General features: G+C 53.4%; 1 protein-coding gene across 3 annotated transcripts, besides 1 other annotated feature; it reads left to right on the top strand.

Moving 5' to 3' along the window:
- Nucleotides 1,733-15,923, top strand: OTOP3 (otopetrin 3). 3 transcript variants are annotated; one of them, NM_178233.2, is made up of 7 exons: nt 1,733-1,838; nt 7,357-7,740; nt 7,832-7,968; nt 9,217-9,275; nt 9,537-9,655; nt 12,592-13,406; nt 15,177-15,923. In NM_178233.2, the coding sequence occupies exons 1-7, from the start codon at nt 1,733-1,735 to the stop codon at nt 15,345-15,347; spliced, it is 1,791 nt and encodes a 596-aa protein (NP_839947.1). In that variant the 3' UTR covers nt 15,348-15,923. The 3 variants fall into 3 exon arrangements, with proteins under 3 accessions (NP_839947.1, NP_001258934.1, XP_011523046.1); NM_001272005.2 differs by having other exon boundaries at nt 1,829-1,871; nt 7,324-7,740; XM_011524744.3 differs by having other exon boundaries at nt 1,829-1,871.
- Nucleotides 9,359-10,558: an enhancer, noted in NCBI's record as "MED14-independent group 3 enhancer chr17:72939523-72940722 (GRCh37/hg19 assembly coordinates)". NCBI's record gives its function as "activates an origin of replication core promoter dependent on BRD2, BRD4, P300/CBP and CDK7 cofactors, and independent of MED14, by STARR-seq in HCT116 cells {active_cell/tissue: HCT116}" and the evidence as "EXISTENCE:reporter gene assay evidence [ECO:0000049][PMID:35650434]".

Below are 16,009 nucleotides of genomic sequence, written 5' to 3' on the forward strand. Positions count from 1 at the left end.
GTTCCCAAACTGCCATCTTCCTCTTCCCTTTATCTCCAGGTGGCATATACATATAATCTTTTTTTTTTTTTTTTTTTGAGAGAGTGTCTCACCTTTTTGCCCAGGCTGGAGTGCAGATAGATCACTGCAACCTTAACCTCCTGGACTCAAGAGACCCCCCCACTTCAGCCTCCTGAGTAGCTGGAACTACAGCTACTACTGCCACCACGCCTGGCTAAATTGTGTGTGTGTGTGTGTGTGTGTGTGTGTGTGTGGAGATGAGGGTCTCATTGTGTTGCCCAGTCTGGTCTTGAACTCCTGGGCTCAAGTGATCCTCCCCCCTCAGCCTCCCAAAGTGCTGGGATTACAGGCATGAGCCACAGCACTCAACCTAATCATTTTCTTTGTGTGTGTCCCATGACAGAAGAAAGTTTAGGAAGCAGTGACCTAGTCTAATGTCTGCATTTTACAAAGAAGGAAGCTGAGGCCCAGAGAGGTAAAGTGACTTGCCCAAGGTCACACACCTGCAAAAAATCCAGAGCCTTTCTGCTAAGAACAATAATTTTCAAACTTTGTTTTCAAGCAGAACATTTTTCCCTTCAAATAAAATATTACAGGAACACAAGTTTATAACATAGATATAGGCTGTGTGCAGTGCCTCACGCTTGTAATCCCAGCACTTTGGGAGGCCGAGGCAGGCAGATCACTTGAGGTCAGGAGTTCGAGACCAGCCTGGCCAACATGGCGAAACTCTGTTTCTACTAAAAAATACAAAAAGTAGCCGGGCATGGTGGCGTGCGCCTGTAATCCCAGCTACTCAGGAGGCTGAGGCAGGAGAATCACTTGAACCCAGGAGGCAAAGGTTGCAGTGAGCCGAGATCATGCCACTGCACTCCAGCCTGTCTAAAACAAAAACAAAAACAAACAAACAAAAAAGATATAAACAAGGCAGTTCTAATTTAAAAGGAGTTGGGAGTCTCAGATCCTCACCACTTGACTTCCCCCTGCCCCAGGAGGTCCCCGAGGAGTTTCCCCTAAGCCCTAGGGTTTCTACTCTACAAAGGGTATAGAGATGCTTAGGAGGGAAGACAGCAGAGAGATGGGAAGGAGGCTCCACAGTTAGAAGAGTGAAAGGTGGTGGTGAGCATGCAGAGGCAGAGGGAGGGGAAGGGCTGGGAGAGGGAGGGCTGGGCGGGACCCATGGAGCAGATGGCATTTGGGGGAGATCATGGGAACAGCAGCACTGGGAGCTCAGGGGACTTTGAGGAAAGTGTGCCTGGACCCTGTCAGCAGAAGGAGGTGAGTAGTTCTCAGAGGCCGCAGGTGGAGCTGAGGAGGCCTCCTCCCCTGTCAGAATGGGGCTGTGCTCCAACTCTCCCCACCAAGTTCAGGTTTGACTTAAGGGAAACACAGGGTCCTGCTAGGCGGCCTCCAGGCCTGGGGCTAGGTAGGGTACAGGAAAAAGCGACTCCAGGCCTGGAGGGAGGGCGTCCATTCCCAGCTTGATCACCAAAGGAAAACGAGGCCTGAATTCCGCAAGCTCTTTACTGCGGACCTAAGAACACTGCACCCCTCTCCACCCCATCCGAGGGCGGGCTGCGAGTTGGAGACCCTGCAGGCCCGCGCCTGCACAGCCCTCAGCCCCGCCCGCTTGTCCAGCTGCCTCGCAATTGGCTGCACCCTCTGGGTCCGAGCCCCCGGGAGGGTAATTAACGAGGGATTAATGAGATTTCCAAAGTCAACAGAAAAATCGATGGGCCGCGGAGCCCGAGCGGCGGCTGCGCAGTCCCGCTGGGGGAGGGCGTCGCGGGCATCGGTCTCACCTGGACGGACGATCCGCTCAGCGCCCGCAGTCGGTGGTTAGCCCACGGCGATGCCTCTCCCGGCCTCAGGTAAGCCCGGAGCGCCGGCGGAACTTTCCCAGCTTGCGCACCCCAGACACTGGCACATACTACCCACCCCCCCAAAAGGGGGGTTCACAAGTAGGGGCTGCAGGGATTGGAACGGGAAAGCGGGGTGACTGTGGAGAGGTGAACTCCCTTTAATCTGAGGCCGGCCCCTCCACCCGCCCCGCAACCCGCGCTCCGCGCCCCTACTCCTTTCCGTGGACCCGGGGAGCACAGAGGGCCTCAGGGCGCGACTCCTCCCGGCCGGGTCCACACAGCAGAAAGCGCGGAGGCCTGGGGTGTGAGGTTGGTTGGGGCTGTCTGGACGCCCGGTCTGGGGCACGCAGGAAGCGGCTGCCCCGGCCCCGCAGTCCCTAAAATGGCTCGGAAGGAAATCCCGAGGGCGCCCGCACTCAGCAGCCTCCTCGGAGCCGGCCCTGCGCTGCTGGGCCGGGCGCCGGGCCCGACGGCTCCGCGGCTTTCATCGCCAATCCAGCCGAGACCCACAAACCAGTCCAGTGTCCCGGCCCTCCCTTGGACTGGCGTCGCGCCCAGGGGCGTGCCAGGGGGCGGCAGAGTACTGCTTGTCAGTTCCAGGTGCCCTTGCCCCAGCCTTCTGCCCGAGACCCCTAAATGCCCACTCCTGCCCCCTGCCCAGCCCGGGACCAAATTCGCTCCTTTGAAGGCTCACGCCAGCGGCCTTTGGAGGGCTGGACTTCAGGGTGGGAGACGGGGGATACTGTCAGGGCAAAGACCCCAGAGGAAGGGAACCTGGAACCTTGTCCCCCAGTGTCCCCTCCAGGCCTCCAGTCTGAATAAAATTCACCCTTGAAATTTCACCAGTAATCCCGACCCTTCCCAGCTCTCCAGGACCTCAAAAGAACTGGAAGGAAATGCAGAGATAGCCAACACTGAGTTTTCCAGGTGCCAGGCATTGCCGGCATTACTCTCTGCCCGTGCTTCGTGCATGTATTAAATCATGTCATTCTGACAAAGCCCCTATTCGGCATTCATCACCCCCCCACCCTTTTTTTTTTTTTTTTTTTGAGACAGGGTCTAACTCTGTCCCTCAGGCTGGAGTTCACTGTGGCGATCACAGCTCACTGCAGCCTCAGCCTCCCAGGCTGAAGCAATCCTCCCACATCAGCCTCCCGAGTAGCTGGGACTACAGGTGCATGCCACTACACCTGGCTAATTGTTTGGTATTTTTTGTAGAGACAGGGTTTTGCCATGTTCCCCAGGCTGGTCTCCAACTCCTGGGCTCAAGGGATCCGCTCACCTCAGCCTCCCAAAGTGCTGGAATTACAGGCGTGAGCCACTGCAGCCAGCCTCGTTCCGGAAGTCTTTATTGAGCATCTACTATGCACCAGCTACTATTCCATAGTTGTATATCAGTTTTGCAGATGACAACACTCAGGCACAGAGTCTAAGTAGCTCTCTGTAGTAGTCTCAGTAGTCTAAGATGACAGAGGTAATAAGTGCTGGAATCTGAGCACTTGATCATTAATCTACCCTGCTTGGGGGCTGGAGGAGAGGGTGCAGGTTTTGGGGAAGGTGAAGTAGAGCAGTTACAGTTGGGATATATGGAGCAGGGAGACATCCCGGTGAGCCCCAGCCTTGCTCAATTTGGGTGGGGGAGCTTAGGAGGGAAAGATAAAGATCATCGGGAGTCTCCTCCCCAGCCAGCCCGGAAAGAGTTTAATGGGAAGGGTCTCTGTCCACAGCTCTGGTGCTGAAAATTTCCCAAAAGATGCCAGAGTCAGTGGGCAATCACTGGGTGAATGTCACATCTGCACTAGGTTTGGGGGGTCCAAGTTAAGCAGGACCCGGTCTCTGTCCTGGAGGAGTTTCAGGACTTAATGGGAGCCAGCCACACCCACAGCACACCAAACAGGGCACACCTCTCAATAGAGGGGAGTGGCCCCAGCAAAGTAGCACCAGAAGGCTTAGGCAGAGAGGAAGGCTTTCCAGGTGGGTGGGGAGGATGGGCGAGTGGTGGGGGAGGCAGAAAGAAGAGCAGTGTCCAGGAGGGATGGCAGGAGGCAGGAGACCATGGGAGAAACGCAGAACTTTCTACCTGGGCCTGGGTTGGTGTGGGAGGCAGGTGCCTTGAGTACGGCAGGGGTGGTGGGACAGGGAGGAGACAGAACTTAGGCAAGGATGACAGAGTGGAGTGGGAAAGGGGAGAAAATCATTTATAGAATCTTGAAAAGAGGCTTAAGTTTTAGTGCTCCATCTGCCCCAGAAGAGAACAGCAGAAGGTATAAATATGGAGCAGGTGGAGAATGGGAGAATATGACAAGGGGAGAATGGGAGCCCGGAGAGGTTGCATTTTCAAGCCAGATATGGTGAGAGTCTTCTGGTGTTGCATAGAGGGCACGTCTGAAGCTCCTGAAGCCTGGGGTCTCAAGGGAGAGACAGAGCAAAGCACAGCTAATGGAAGCAGAGGACGATGGGTGGTCAGCGTGGGGTGAGGTGGGAATGCTGACGAGGGAAGGCCGCAGAGAGGAGGCAGGGTCTCTGCCGAGTCCTGAAGGACAAGCTAGAGTTACCCAAGGGGCAAAAGGGGTAGGCATTAAAGGCAAAGAATAGGGTGTGGGCAAAGACTGGGGGCGTTCCAGGAAGTGCAGCAAGATGGTATAGCCCAAGGAGAGGGGAGTAGGGTCAAAGACAATGCTAGAGGGGTAAGTTGAAGCCAGACCAGGAAGCAGCAGCAGCTACTCTGCCTTGGGCAGAGAACCTGGAACCTTGTCCAGGCCCATACTAATCATACACCTCTCATTTTGAGAGGCCATGCAGGCTGTGTCAGTAATTTGGACTTTATACTGAGGGCAATTAGTTGCCTTTGCAGGACTTTAAGTAGGGGAGAGGCACTCTGGGCAAGAAGACCAGTCCAAGAGAGCAAGGAAGGGGGCCCAGACTAGGTAGTGGTTGAGGTCAAGAAAAATCAGGGCCAGGCATGGTGGCTTACACCTGTAATCCCAGCACTTTGGGAACCTGAGACAGGAGGATCACTCGAGGCGAGGAGTTCAAGACCAGCTTAGGCAACATAACGTGACCCTGTCTCTGCAAAAAAAAAAAAAATTAAAATTAGCCAAGGGTGGTGGCACATGCCTGTAGTCCCAACTACTCATGAGGCTGAATCGGGAGGATCACTTGAGCCCAGGAGTTCAAGATTGCAGTGAGCTATGATGGTGCCACTGCACTCCAGGCTGGGTGACAGAGCGAGACCCTAGCTCTAAAAATAGACAAATAAAAATCTAAGAGCAACTTGTGAGCTGGAATGAACAAGCCTGGGGCCTAAGAGAATGCAAGGGATGAGGGGAGAGGCAAAAAGGACACCCAGTTCTCTGCTAGGAGGTGGGGAGATGGAGATGTCACTCTGAGATTGTGACATTAGGAAGCAAGAGAATGGGAGCAATGAGCACCTAGAACCCTGAGCTCAGAGCACAAGGGCAGCAGCAGGACCAAGGAAGAGCCTGGGTGGAACAGGGGGTCTCTAGGGAGCCTTCTGGGTCAGCTCAGCCTCCCCACCAGGAGAGCACCCAGAAGCAGCAGAACCATCCCCACTCTCAACAGCACCTCAGTCCCACCAGGAAGAAGGAGTGTCCGGTGGGGAGAGCATGCTGGACTCAGAGCTGCAGGCATTGGATGGCCCAAAATCTGGTCTTAGCAAGTGGTGACAAAGTGGTTGGCCTGTGTGAATGCTTGGGAGAGGTGAGGAAATGGCAGGAGACATTCAGGAAAAGAGGAGGGTAACGATCGTGTTTCCTACGTTATGCCAGGCACTCGTGGGACTTCCGGGAGTGGGGGGAGGGGCACAGAAATAGAAGCCAGTTCCTTCAAAGTCAACCTTCAAAGTCAAGGGCGTGGCAGCGATGCTGATCCAGGCCTGTCCCATGCTCTCAGAAGACATTGTGAATCAACCCCAGAAACTTTTCCCTAAACCTTTAATGTACTTTAAAATTATTTTATTTATGTATTTATGTTTAAACTCAGGGTCTTGCTCTGTCACTCAGCTTGGAGTGCAGTGGTCCAATCATAGCTCACTGCAACCTTGATTTCCTGGGCTCAAGCCATCCTCCTGCCTCAGCCTCCTGAGTAGTTGGGACTATAGGCATTAAACCATCATACCTGGCTAATATATATATTATACACACACACACACACACACACACACACACACACACACACACACATACATATATACATATATGGGGTTTTTTTCGGCTTTTTTGTTTTTTTTTTTTTTTGAAGAGATGGTGTCTTCCTATGTTAGCCAGGCTGGTCTTGAATGCCTGGGCTCAAGCAATCCTCCCACCTGAGGCTCCCAAAGTGCTGAGATTACAGGCATCAGCCACCATGCTCAGCCTAAAATTACTCTTAATTACATAAGTACTGTGCTAATTTTTTTTTAAAAAACTAGAACAGTAAAGCTAAAAAGTCTGCTACTCCCAATCCCAGTACTCTCATCCCAGAAGAAACTCCTATTGTGAAACTGATGGGTATAATCTAGACCAGCAGTCCCCAGTCCCCAGGCTGCGGACCAGTACCAGTCCATGGCCTGTTAGGAACCAGGCCGCATAGCAGGAGGTAAGTGATGGGGAGGGAGCATGACAGCCTGAGCTCTGCCTCCTGTCAGATCAGCAGTGGCAACAGATTCTCATAGGAGCACAAGCCCTATCGTGAACTGCACATGTGAGGGATCTAGGGGTTGCCCACTCCTCATGAGAATCTAATACCCAATGATCTGAAGTGGAACAGTTTCATCCCGAAACCATCCCTCCACCCTCCATCCATGGAAAAATTGTCTTCCACGAAACTGCTCCCTGGTGCCAAAAAAGTTGGGGAGGGGACTGCTGGTCTAGACCTTTTAAAAGTAATCATATAGGTGCTTGTATGTTCCCATAATACAGTATTGTTTCAGATCACACCATTCTTCCCTACCAAGCCCAGACACAGCCTCAGGATGCTTCTCTACAAGACATTTTAGGCAATCATTTCCCAACCAATCAGGGTCAGAATAAGAAAGGCCACCAATTTGCCCTCCCTGGTGTCAGAAGTGAAAGTCCTACCAGAAGGCGGAAGGACACCGCTGCCTTTTCATGGCAAAAAGTCACAGCCCTAGAAACTGACCAGGCACTAGGCAGACGCTGACTTTAGGATCAGGCACAAGTCAGGAAGTGGGGTTGAGAGGGAGGACATGATCCTCACGCCAGTCAAACTAATTCCCCATGTTTATGTGCAGCACGAGAGGTTTCCGTAGGGTCTCCTGGTCTGTTTGAACCTCCTCAGGTCCTGTAAGATAGATGGGGCAGCTGCTATTAGTTCCAATGTCCCAACCACCCAACCAGAGAGGCCGCATAGCTGACCCTGGGTCACACAGCGGTTAGGGGCAGCGTGGACTTGAACCCAGGACAGCCTGGCAGTTAACCCAGGACCCTTTCTCCATCTCCAGCCCCTGCTGAGGCTACACCCATGCCTTCTTCAGAAGCACAGGAGACTGAAGCAGCCCCGGAGAAGGAGAACCGAGTGGATGTGGGGGCCGAGGAGAGAGCGGCCGCCACCCGGCCCCGGCAGAAGTCCTGGCTGGTGAGGCATTTCTCTCTGCTGCTGCGGCGGGACCGGCAGGCCCAGAAGGCTGGACAACTCTTCTCGGGGCTCCTGGCCCTGAATGTGGTGTTCCTGGGTGGCGCCTTCATCTGCAGCATGATCTTCAACAAGGTGGCCGTCACTCTGGGTGACGTGTGGATCCTGCTGGCCACGCTGAAGGTCCTCTCCCTGCTTTGGCTTCTCTACTATGTGGCAAGCACCACCCGCCGACCACACGCCGTGCTCTACCAAGATCCCCACGCGGGGCCCCTCTGGGTGCGGGGTGAGTGTCAGGTTGCTGGGGGGCTGGGCAGGGGTGGGGAGGGAGAGCCGGTTCCGCGCAGGTGCCAACGCCCGCCCACATGTCCGGCCAGGTTCCCTAGTGCTCTTCGGCAGCTGCACCTTCTGCCTCAACATCTTCCGAGTGGGCTACGATGTGAGCCACATCCGCTGCAAGTCACAGCTGGACCTTGTCTTCTCTGTCATCGAGATGGTCTTCATCGGCGTCCAGGTGACAGGCTTCTCACGTCCCCACATCACCGAGGACATACCCTATCTACCCATGCCATGCACACACCTCCCACTACCTATGCCTAGGAACAGCCACACAGGCAAATACCTAATGTCCCAGGGTCTTTGCACACACACCACACCCCTCACACAAGTGTCCACGTCCACACATACCCACGGGTTCCTGCATCAACACACACACCGTGTCACCGAATGTAGACACTTAGAAGTCCAGCTGTCTATGCGTATGTAGGCATATCCCTGGATATACACTCCCTACATGTATAAACCTTCTCTTAAGAATACAATCTCGGCAGGGCGCAGTGGCTCACGCCTGTAATCCCAGCACTTTGGGAGGCCGAGGCAGGCAGATCACCTGAGGTCAGGAGTTTGAAACCAGCCTGGCCAACATGGTAAAACCCTGTCTCTACTGAAAATACAAAAATTAGCCGGGTGTGGTGGCGCACGCCTGTAGTCCCAGCTACTCGGGAGGCTGAGGCACAAGAATCGCTTGAACCCAGGAGGCAGAGGTTGCAGTGAGCCAAGATCATGCCACTGAGCTCCAGCCTGGGCGACAGAGTGAGACTCTGTCTCAAAAAAAAAGAATACAATCGGCCAGGCGCGGTGGCTCACACCTGTAATCCCAGCACTTTGGGAGGCCGAGGTGGGTGGATCACAAGGTCAGGGGATCGAGACTAGCTGAGACCATCCTGGCTAACACAGTGAAACCCTGTCTCTACCAAAAATACAAAAACAAAATTAGCTGGGCGTGGTGGCAGGCGCCTGTAGTCCCAGCTACTCAGGAGGCTGAGGCAGGAGAATGGTGTGAACCCGAAAGGCAGATCTTGCAGTGAGCCGAGATTGCGCCACTGCACTCCAGCCTGGGCGACAGAGCGAGACTCCAAAAAACAAAAAAGAAAAGAATACAATCTCCAGCTTCCTCTTAGGTTTCTCTTGTCACCAGGCATTGTGTTGGGTGCTTCGTTCCCGCAGTCTTATTTCCCCCAACAAGAAAGCACTTCCCCAAAGGGTGGGCTTTTTGGTCCCTTTTCCCAGCTGAGGCAACTAAGGCTCAGAGATGGTTTGCCACTGATTCAATACCACACAGCAAGAAGCAGTAGAGCCAAGATTCCGACCCAGTCTTTCTCCCTGTGTCTTTCACTGTAAATACACGCATGCGCCCCAGGAACTCACACTGTGGTCCCACCACCTCCACCAGCCCCTGGGCTCAAGGCCCTGTCTCTTTCAGACCTGGGTGCTCTGGAAACACTGCAAAGACTGTGTTCGGGTCCAGACCAACTTCACTAGGTAAGACTTCTCTCCCTCCCAAACCCTCTGGCCTCTCTGTCCTCCCCACCACTTCCCTGGTCAGGGTGGCCGCGGGGCTATAGGTTAGTCTGGGATGTGTCCTAGGTGGCCCCAGGGCTGCCTCTTGTGTCCTAGTGCCAGTGTGACACTAGGGAGTGAGTGGTTGGGAGTGAGTGGTTGCCCCAACAACAGTGGATGGTGAGGGTTTGGCACCTGGGGAGCCGGCCAGGGTGTGTGAGAAGAGTGTGGCATTTCCCCCAGGTGTGGCCTGATGCTGACCCTGGCCACAAACCTGCTGCTGTGGGTTCTGGCCGTTACCAATGACTCCATGCACCGAGAGATCGAAGCTGAGCTTGGCATCCTCATGGAAAAATCCACAGGTATGGAAAGGAGACCAGGTCTTCCTTGCCCTGAAACACACACACACACACACACACACACACACACACATAAACGCTACACTCTCTAAAACAGGTGAGGCTCAGTAGGTCTATAGAGTTGGGAGCAAACTCTAGAGGCCAGATTAGGAATCAACAGAAAACTGAAGTTTGCCAGTGGTCCCCATCCCACCCCATCAGGTGCTGACGCCCTGCACCCAACTCCAGGTGTCCAGCTAGCCATCAGCAAGCCAGCCACTGATCCTGGCTGAGAGAGCCACTAAGTCCTTCAGGTATGCACCCCGCCCGTGGCATTTGCATTTTACTTGCAAGCAACTCAACAGCCTCCCGGCTGAAAGGAATATCTTCCTAACACAATTTTAGGTGCCTGGCCTCATCAATCAGGTGGGACGGAAGATATCTGGACAGAAAAAAACTCCCAAGATTGTCCCATATGCCTCACCTCCTATCCTAGAGGCTGCATCCCATACCCTACATGGGAACACTGCTCTGTGGGATTGAGCCACACCTGTATGTACATGCCCCACCCCGCCCCGGGTGGCATCACCATCACGCCCTGCAGCCCAGCCCTCCCAGCACATCCACACATTCACATACCCGCTGCATCAGTCACGACACGCCTGTGTACTGTGAGCATTCTATATACTCTGCTTGCATTTCTCAGAAAAGCTGTGCAAAGAGAGAATTTTTGCCAAGTGACATCATGGATTTTGAAATTATAAAATAATTCAGGGCTGGGCACAGTGGCTCACGCCTATAATCCCAGCGCTTTGGGAGGCCGAGGCAGGCAGATCACCTGAGGTCAGGAGTTTGAAACCAGCCTAGCGAACATGGCGAAACCCCGTCTCTACTAAAAATACAAAAATTACCCAGGCATGGTTGTGGGTGCCTGTAATCCCAGCTACTCAGGAGGCTGAGGCATGAGAATCGCTTGAACCCGGGAGGCGGAGGTTGCGGTAAGCCGAGATCGCACCATTGCACTCCAGCCTGTGTGACAAGAGTGAAACTGTCATAAAACAAAATAAAATAAGATTCAAGCATTACAAATGAGTAGAAGAACAAGACATACCCATCATCTAGGCATAATAATTATTAATATTTGGCCATATTTATTTATTTTTAATTTTTGCTGAAGTACTTAAATTACAGAAATCATGACATTATATCTCAAAATATTTCAGCATGCATCTTTTTTTCTTCTTTCTTTCTTTTTTTTTCTTTTTGAGACAGGGTGTCGCTCTGTCACCCAGGCTGGAGTGCAGTGGTGAAATCATAGCTCACTACAGTTTCAAACTTCTGGGCTCAAGCGATCCTCCCACCTCAGCCTCCTGAGTAGCTGGGACTACAGGCACATGCCAGCACACCCAGCTAATTTTTAAAATTTTTGTAAAGATGGAGTCTCACAAAAAAATTTCTGAGCCCAGACTCATCTCAAACTACTGGGTTCAAGTGATCCTCCCTCCTCAGCTTCCCAAAGTGCTGGGATTATAGGCATGAGCCACCATGCCGGACCCAGTGTACATCTCTTTAGAAAGAGATGTATTCCCCCACATGACCACAATGCTATTACAATTGTTAACAAAATCCTTTAGCTTCATTCTGTCCTCTAAATCAATCTATATCCCACTTTCTCCAGTTAGCCCCAGAAATGTCTTTTACAGACGGTTTGTTCAAACATGCAATGCATTTGGTTAAGTCTAAATTGGTGTTTTCCCACTGACCTTGAGACTTGTCAGGTTGCTTCCTCCTGGCAGTGTTTAACTCACATCCCTCTCCCCTACTTTTCCTTGGAACGGGAAGTATAGACAAAATCTTGATTAGATTCAGGTTAGATATTTTCGGCCCCAGCTTCTTCCAGGTGATGCTGTGTGCTCTGAGGGACAGGGATGGCAAGGTACTAATGACTGATGACCTGACCCTGAGTGCTGCTAAGGCCGATGGCTGGGTTCCGCTGTCACAGCCACGGGTTTTCCCTTGAGCCCAGGAAGTAATCTGTGGAGGTGACATTTGACACCAGAGACATCATGTGAGGGTTCTTGGGGTTTCGGTTTTTGGTTTATTTGAGACACACTCTCACTCTGTCACCCAAAGTGGAATACAGTCATGGGAACACGGCTCACTGCAGCCTCAACCTTCCAGGCTCAAGTGATCCTCCCACCTCAGCCTCCCAAATAGCTGGGACTACAGATGTGTGCCATCCGGCTAATGTTTTTTGTTAGTTTTTGTTTTTTGTTTTTTGTGGTTTTTTTTTTTGAGATGGAGTTTTGCTCTGTCGCCCAGGCTGGAGTGCAATGGCACAATCTTGGCTCACTGCAACCTCTGCCTCCCGGTCTCAAGCCATTCTTCTGCCTCAGCCTCCCGAGTAGCTGGGATTACAGGCACGTGCCACCATGCCCAGCTAATTTTTGTATTTTTAGTAGAGACGGGGTTTCACCATGTTGCCCAAGCTGGTCTTGAACTCCTGACCTCAGGTGATCCACCTGCCTCAGCCTCCCAAAGTGTTGGGATTACAGGCATGAACCACCGCACCTGGCCATGTTTTTTATTTTTAGTAGAGACGAGGTCTCACCATGTTACCCAAGTCGATCTTGAACTCCTGAGCTCAAGCAGTCTTCCTGCCTTGGCCTCTCAAAGTGCTGGGATTACAGGCATGAGCCACTGCGCCTGGCTGGCATCATGTTTTTAATGCTTTACGTAAGTTTGGCATCTGAAGTCTTCAATTCCTTTGAAAAAGAATGACCATTCTGTGGGATTTGTGATCTCTTTGCCTGGGCCTCAGTTTCCACATTGGTAAAATGAGCGGCTGGGTCGCTTTCAGCTCTAGTGTATTCCAGGGAATGGGAGGTATCTGTGTAGCCAGTTTCCTCAGAGCAGAGCCTGCCTGAATGTCTGTCCCTCCCACCCTGCCTCCCTCCCAGGCAATGAGACCAACACCTGTCTGTGCCTCAATGCCACCGCGTGTGAAGCTTTCCGGAGAGGCTTCCTGATGCTCTACCCCTTCAGCACTGAGTACTGCCTCATCTGCTGTGCTGTGCTGTTTGTCATGTGGAAGAACGTGGGCCGCCACGTGGCACCCCACATGGGTGCCCACCCTGCCACCGCACCCTTCCACCTGCACGGGGCCATCTTCGGGCCGCTGCTGGGCCTGCTGGTGCTGCTGGCAGGTGTGTGCGTCTTTGTGCTCTTCCAAATCGAGGCCAGTGGCCCTGCCATTGCTTGCCAGTACTTCACCCTCTACTATGCCTTCTATGTGGCTGTGCTGCCCACCATGAGTCTGGCGTGCCTGGCGGGCACAGCCATACACGGGCTGGAGGAGAGAGAGCTGGACACGGTCAAGAACCCTACCCGCAGCCTGGATGTGGTGCTGCTAATGGGTGCTGCACTGGGCCAGATGGGCATCGCCTATTTCTCCATCGTGGCCATTGTGGCCAAGCGCCCGCATGAGCTGCTCAACCGCCTCATCCTGGCCTACTCGCTGCTGCTCATCCTGCAGCACATCGCTCAGAACCTCTTCATCATCGAGGGCCTGCACCGGCGCCCACTCTGGGAGACAGTTCCCGAGGGCCTGGCAGGAAAGCAGGAGGCTGAGCCTCCCCGCAGAGGCTCCTTGCTGGAGCTGGGCCAGGGCCTGCAGCGGGCCTCACTGGCCTACATCCACTCCTACAGCCACCTCAACTGGAAGCGGAGGGCACTCAAGGAGATCTCACTCTTCCTCATCCTCTGCAATATCACAGTAAGTGGCTGGGCTAAGGGGCCTGGAGGGTAGAGGTGGCCAGGCAGACCCAGAAAGCCTCACTCAGGAAGGGATGGATCAAGGACACATCTTTTTCCAACTAGCTTGATGCTGCTTGAGAGTGTCCCCCCAGTTCCCTACAGGGTGCCTGGCACAAATGAATGTGCCAAGCACTTGGCTAAGTGCTCTTCACAAACAAATATGTAAGACATCCACCCTCCAGAAACTTCCTGTCTAGTTGGGAAGACACCACTGAATTCATCATCCCTGGGTTCAGTCAAAGGAAGAGATCAGGAAGTACCTGATTTTCTAAGACACTCCTAGAGGAAGATGTTGATAATGGCTGCCCAGCTTCTGGCGGAAGTCCCAGGTACACCTTTCCATGCAATGTCTCTACGCTTCATTGAATCATGACAGTAACTCCATGCAACAGACACTATTGCTGTCCCTTTTCACAGAGGAGGAAACTAAGGCTTAGGTTATTGTACCTGCCCAAGTACCCACAGCCTGTAAGTGGCAGGGCTGGGACAACTCAGGGTTGTGTTTGACTCCAAGCAATCAATGCACTGAAAACATACCTGAGAAATGAAACCTCTGGTCCAGGCAGAGAATAAATTGGCTCTAAAGTGCATTAGGAGCTCAGCAAAGGAACTGTGGGCCTGCATAGCCAAGGAAGGCTTCATGAAGTTTTGATCTGAGCCTTGAGGAAGGGGTAGAATTTGGACAGGAAGGTAGGAGGGGGCAGGGGGTCATAACTAGCAGAAATGACAGGGCACAGTGGCTCACACCTGTAATCCCAGCACTTTGGGAGGCCGAGGGAGGAGGATCCCTTGAGCCCAGGAGTTTAAGACCAACCTGGGCAACACAGGGAGACCCTGTCTCTACAAAAAAAATTTTAAATTAGTCTGGGCACGGTGGCTCACGCCTGTAAGCCCAGCACTTCGGGAGACTGAGGTGAGTGGATCATTTGAGGCCAGGAGTTGGAGACCAGCCTGGGCAACATGGTAAACCCCATCTCTACTAAAAATACAAAAATTAGCCAGGCATGGTGGTGCACACCTGTAATTCCAGCTACTCGGGAGGCTGAGGCACGAGAATTGCTCAAACCCAGGAGGCAGAGGTTTCAGTGAGCTGAGATCGTGCCACTGCACTCCAGCCTGGGTGACAGAGTGAGACTCTGTATCTTAAAAAATAGTAATAATAAAAATAAAAATTAGCCAGGCATGATGGTGCATGCCTGTAGTCCCAGCTACTTGGGAGGCTGAGGTGGGAGGATCACTTGAGCCCGGGAGGTTGAGGCTGCAGTGAGCTGTGATCCTGCCACTGCACTCCAGCCTGAGTGACAGAGTGAGACCTGTCTCAAAAAAATAAATAAATAATAAAAATAAAAAGTAGCTAGCCGAGGAGTGAAGCCCGAGCTCAGGGTACAGGGTGGGGGTGCCCAGCTTGACAGAGCAGGTGGCGCGCTGGGAATTCCTGCTTCTCCCCACACGTGGCGGCAGCCTGGGGTCTCCTGACCCATCTGAAGTTCAGGCTGGCCACAGGCAAGCTCACAGAGATGGCTGGGGATAGCTAAGGCCTTCTGCAGTAGGGCGAGAAAGATCTGGGGGAAAGAAGAGCTCACGCTGAAAGCCCAAGGGTTAGAAGAAGACTGAGCGGGAGGTGGGGGTGGCACTGGAGGGGCTGCAGGTTTGGGGGCTGCCTCCCCTGAACTGAGTGCCTTGGGGCACAGGAGAGCCCTTCCCTAACTCAGCACATCCTCTTCCCCAGCTGTGGATGATGCCTGCATTTGGCATACACCCGGAGTTTGAGAACGGGCTAGAAAAGGATTTCTACGGCTACCAGATATGGTTCGCCATCGTCAACTTCGGCCTGCCTCTGGGGGTCTTCTACCGCATGCACTCTGTGGGAGGCCTGGTGGAGGTCTACCTGGGGGCCTGAGGCTGCCCACCCCCGGCAGAACCTCGAAGTGCCAAGGTGGGGAAGATGGTAGCCCAGAGTCTCTGAGCAGATGCCTCATTCTGAGGTGCCGAGACCAGCCTGAGGCTCTCAAGGCCTCCTGCTCCCCAGAGCCTCACTGAAGGGGAGGGCACTGCCTAGAGCCAGAGGCCAACAGCAGGGGCCTGGACACTGAGCTTCTGATGCCCACGGCCAGGCCTGGGCACATGCCTGCCCCCTGCCTTCCCACCACGATCCGCAAGCCAAGGGTGCACCCCAGGAGGCTGGCAGGGGCCCCCTCACGGCTACTCTGTGGGAGGGTCAGACCTACATGACCGAGTCTGGGGAGCTTGGCGAGGGGCACCCCTCTCCAGCCAGGACTCAGAGGTCTGCCCCCTGCTGCGAGAAGAGCACCTGGTCCAAGTGTGGCTCTGGACATCCTCAGAGCTCAGAGCTCCGAGCTAGGAGGCCAGCTCCTCTCCCCACACACCTGTCTCCTAATGAGCTCATTCATTGGCTGCCAGGCAGGGTTCAACAGCTCTCTCCTGCCGCATAAACCCTATTTGTTTAATGGATTGCATTCAGGCTCATGGCATTTGTTCCCAGGGACAGAACTGCTCCTCCGGACATGGTGGGAAGGAATGGTCCTTTTGAGTAGGGCTGTG

Source organism: Homo sapiens, chromosome 17 (genome assembly GCF_000001405.40).
Source record: "Homo sapiens chromosome 17, GRCh38.p14 Primary Assembly".
NCBI classification, from domain to species: domain Eukaryota; kingdom Metazoa; phylum Chordata; class Mammalia; order Primates; family Hominidae; genus Homo; species Homo sapiens.

Bases quoted from the DNA above. Each gene is read 5' to 3' on its own strand.
- OTOP3 (NM_178233.2), top strand. From the start codon at position 1,733: ATGGGCCGCGGAGCCCGAGCGGCGGCTGCGCAGTCCCGCTGGGGGAGG. The intron at 1,839-7,356 runs GTTAGCCCACGG...TGCCTTCTTCAG, and splicing joins CTCAGCGCCCGCAGTCGGTG to AAGCACAGGAGACTGAAGCA. The intron at 7,741-7,831 runs GTGAGTGTCAGG...ATGTCCGGCCAG, and splicing joins GGGGCCCCTCTGGGTGCGGG to GTTCCCTAGTGCTCTTCGGC.